This window comes from Homo sapiens, chromosome 5 (genome assembly GCF_000001405.40).
Source record: "Homo sapiens chromosome 5, GRCh38.p14 Primary Assembly".
Taxonomy (NCBI): domain Eukaryota; kingdom Metazoa; phylum Chordata; class Mammalia; order Primates; family Hominidae; genus Homo; species Homo sapiens.
The window spans coordinates 120,941,400-120,943,518 of NC_000005.10; the positions used below are offsets into that span (position 1 = coordinate 120,941,400).

Genomic DNA, 2,119 nt, shown 5'->3' on the forward strand with positions numbered 1-2,119 from the left:
TCCAATTCCATTAATGGAAACCACCCTACTCCACAATTCTTAAAATTGGGGATAATCTTAATAATTGTGAAGCCATTACCTGTAAGGGGTTATCACCACTCCAAATACCACCAGCAGTGGGGCCCATTATTGACAATTTATAAGTATAAAAGTCTAAGCTTAGCTTAGCCATGTCCATTTTTTATCAAAGGCTTGTCTCAAGATCAGTTGTGTATAAAAGAGAGAAAATGGTAGATGTGTGTGTGATTTGGAAATTCTGTGTGATTAACATGTGCTTTTTCATTTTTTTACAGTGGTAGATTTGAAAGCATCAGGAGGCTTTGGAAAAACATAAAAACTCAATTCAGAGGGTCTAAGCCCTGTCATTCCTGTACTTCCATCCAGAACACTGCCTATTCTATGAGGAGAAACCAAATGCTTCATAGATAGCACACCAAATTTCTGGCACCCTTTCTTAGGCCTTTAAATCTTTTTTACTGTTCCTTAGCAACTCTGTTGGAATACTAATGGTTTCGTATTTTCACACCACCACACCACATCTATCCTCAATAGCCCATGGTGGAAACAAGAATACACAGTAGAGAACATATTGGACTCCATGTGCACCAAAACCAGTCTCAATATCTGGAAAGTTAAACTGTCTGGAAGGCAGTCATAATAACTCTAAGAGCTCTGCACATATCTCAGTTTTTTTCCAGGGAAATACAGGAAAGCTTGGGAACACATGCCAAAGAAGAGGCTGTTCAATCAGAACAGGGTCCTTTAGGCCAGCTAATATCACCTGGGAATCCTGACACTGTTTCCAGTTCAAGTTTAGGGAAATTGCTCAGAATCAATCTTAGCTAATTCTTGACTTATTTTACTCTAATTTGTTCTTCTTATATTTACACTCTTCACTCTGTAGTTTTTGCTTTATATTATTTAGTTCTTTTGAATTAGGTCCTGCCGAGTTGAAGCTCAGTCATTTGATCACAGATGTCACTCTCTGCTCATCACAGTGATCTTGACATATCGGTTCTTCTCAAGTGGTAACTGCTTATTCCAGACCCTCCACTGCCAAAACTCAAAGTCGCTCCTTTATGAGCCAACATCTGGCTCAGTCTCCCAGCCTTCAGAAGGGCAGAAGGAAGTTGGACAAGTAACATCGAATACTTCAAAGAAGTTGAAGTTGGAGGCTGAAAATCGCCCTCCTAATATTTCAGTTTACAAAAGGTGCAAATCACCTTTTTTTTTTTTTTTTACCTTCTTTTAACAAAGTCAAGAGAAAAACTCTTTAGACCTGCAACAGATGTGCATGAGAATTAGGCTCATTGTTTTGCTTGGCATTGGCGCATTCTTTACAAAGCACATGCCCCAGGCATGCTGGTTACGTAACTGTTATAGTAGGCTGCCTTCCTTCATAATGCATAGACTATTATTAGTACAGCTTAGAAACATTACTCTCCAAATGATGCCAAAAAGCATTTCATGAGACATAATATCTCTTCAGGCCTTTTACTGGACTCATGTTATATAAAGCTCAGAGGGACCGTCTTCAAAAGAGGCTCTTGCTTGAGGGCATTGCCTAAGAATTTGTTAATATTTTTAATTAATGGAGATCCATGACTTCGAAATAACAGTCTGAAAAGAGGAATGAAATAAAGATTGAAGAATCTTATCTATGAGATTTGACCGTTTTGCTCTTGGGAAGCAGTGCCTATTTGGTTGACCACACACTGCAAAACACAGGATTTCCCACAGATGTTATAATTCTCAGAAACACATGCACACACAACTCCGCTAAACAGAGTGTTTCAACATATAAATGTCATTTTATAATGAAACATCATTAAACTACAACCCTTAGAATGGAACGATTTTAGTGCCAGCAATTGCAATAGAATGTGGCTATGGAAATGAAGGGGAAACTTTGGATCTTAAAGGCGAAAAGTTCAATTAAATGTGTATCTTTAACATGAAGTTTGCTTGTAGGTGAGAATATGTTGTATTTACTACATTTGAGACTCATTTTTTCTCAGGCAAAAGATACCACGTTTAGATATTAGTTATATCTACAAGTTCTGTCTTCCACTAGTAATTGCTCTTTTCTTCCCACTGCATTGGACTGTAAACAATTCCT

General features: G+C 37.8%; 1 annotated feature.

The window, feature by feature from the left end:
• Nucleotides 1,090-1,626: an enhancer, noted in NCBI's record as "OCT4-NANOG hESC enhancer chr5:120278184-120278720 (GRCh37/hg19 assembly coordinates)". NCBI's record gives its function as "activates a minimal SCP1, AML or CMV promoter by ChIP-STARR-seq in primed H9 embryonic stem cells {active_cell/tissue: H9 hESC(primed)}" and the evidence as "EXISTENCE:reporter gene assay evidence [ECO:0000049][PMID:30033119]".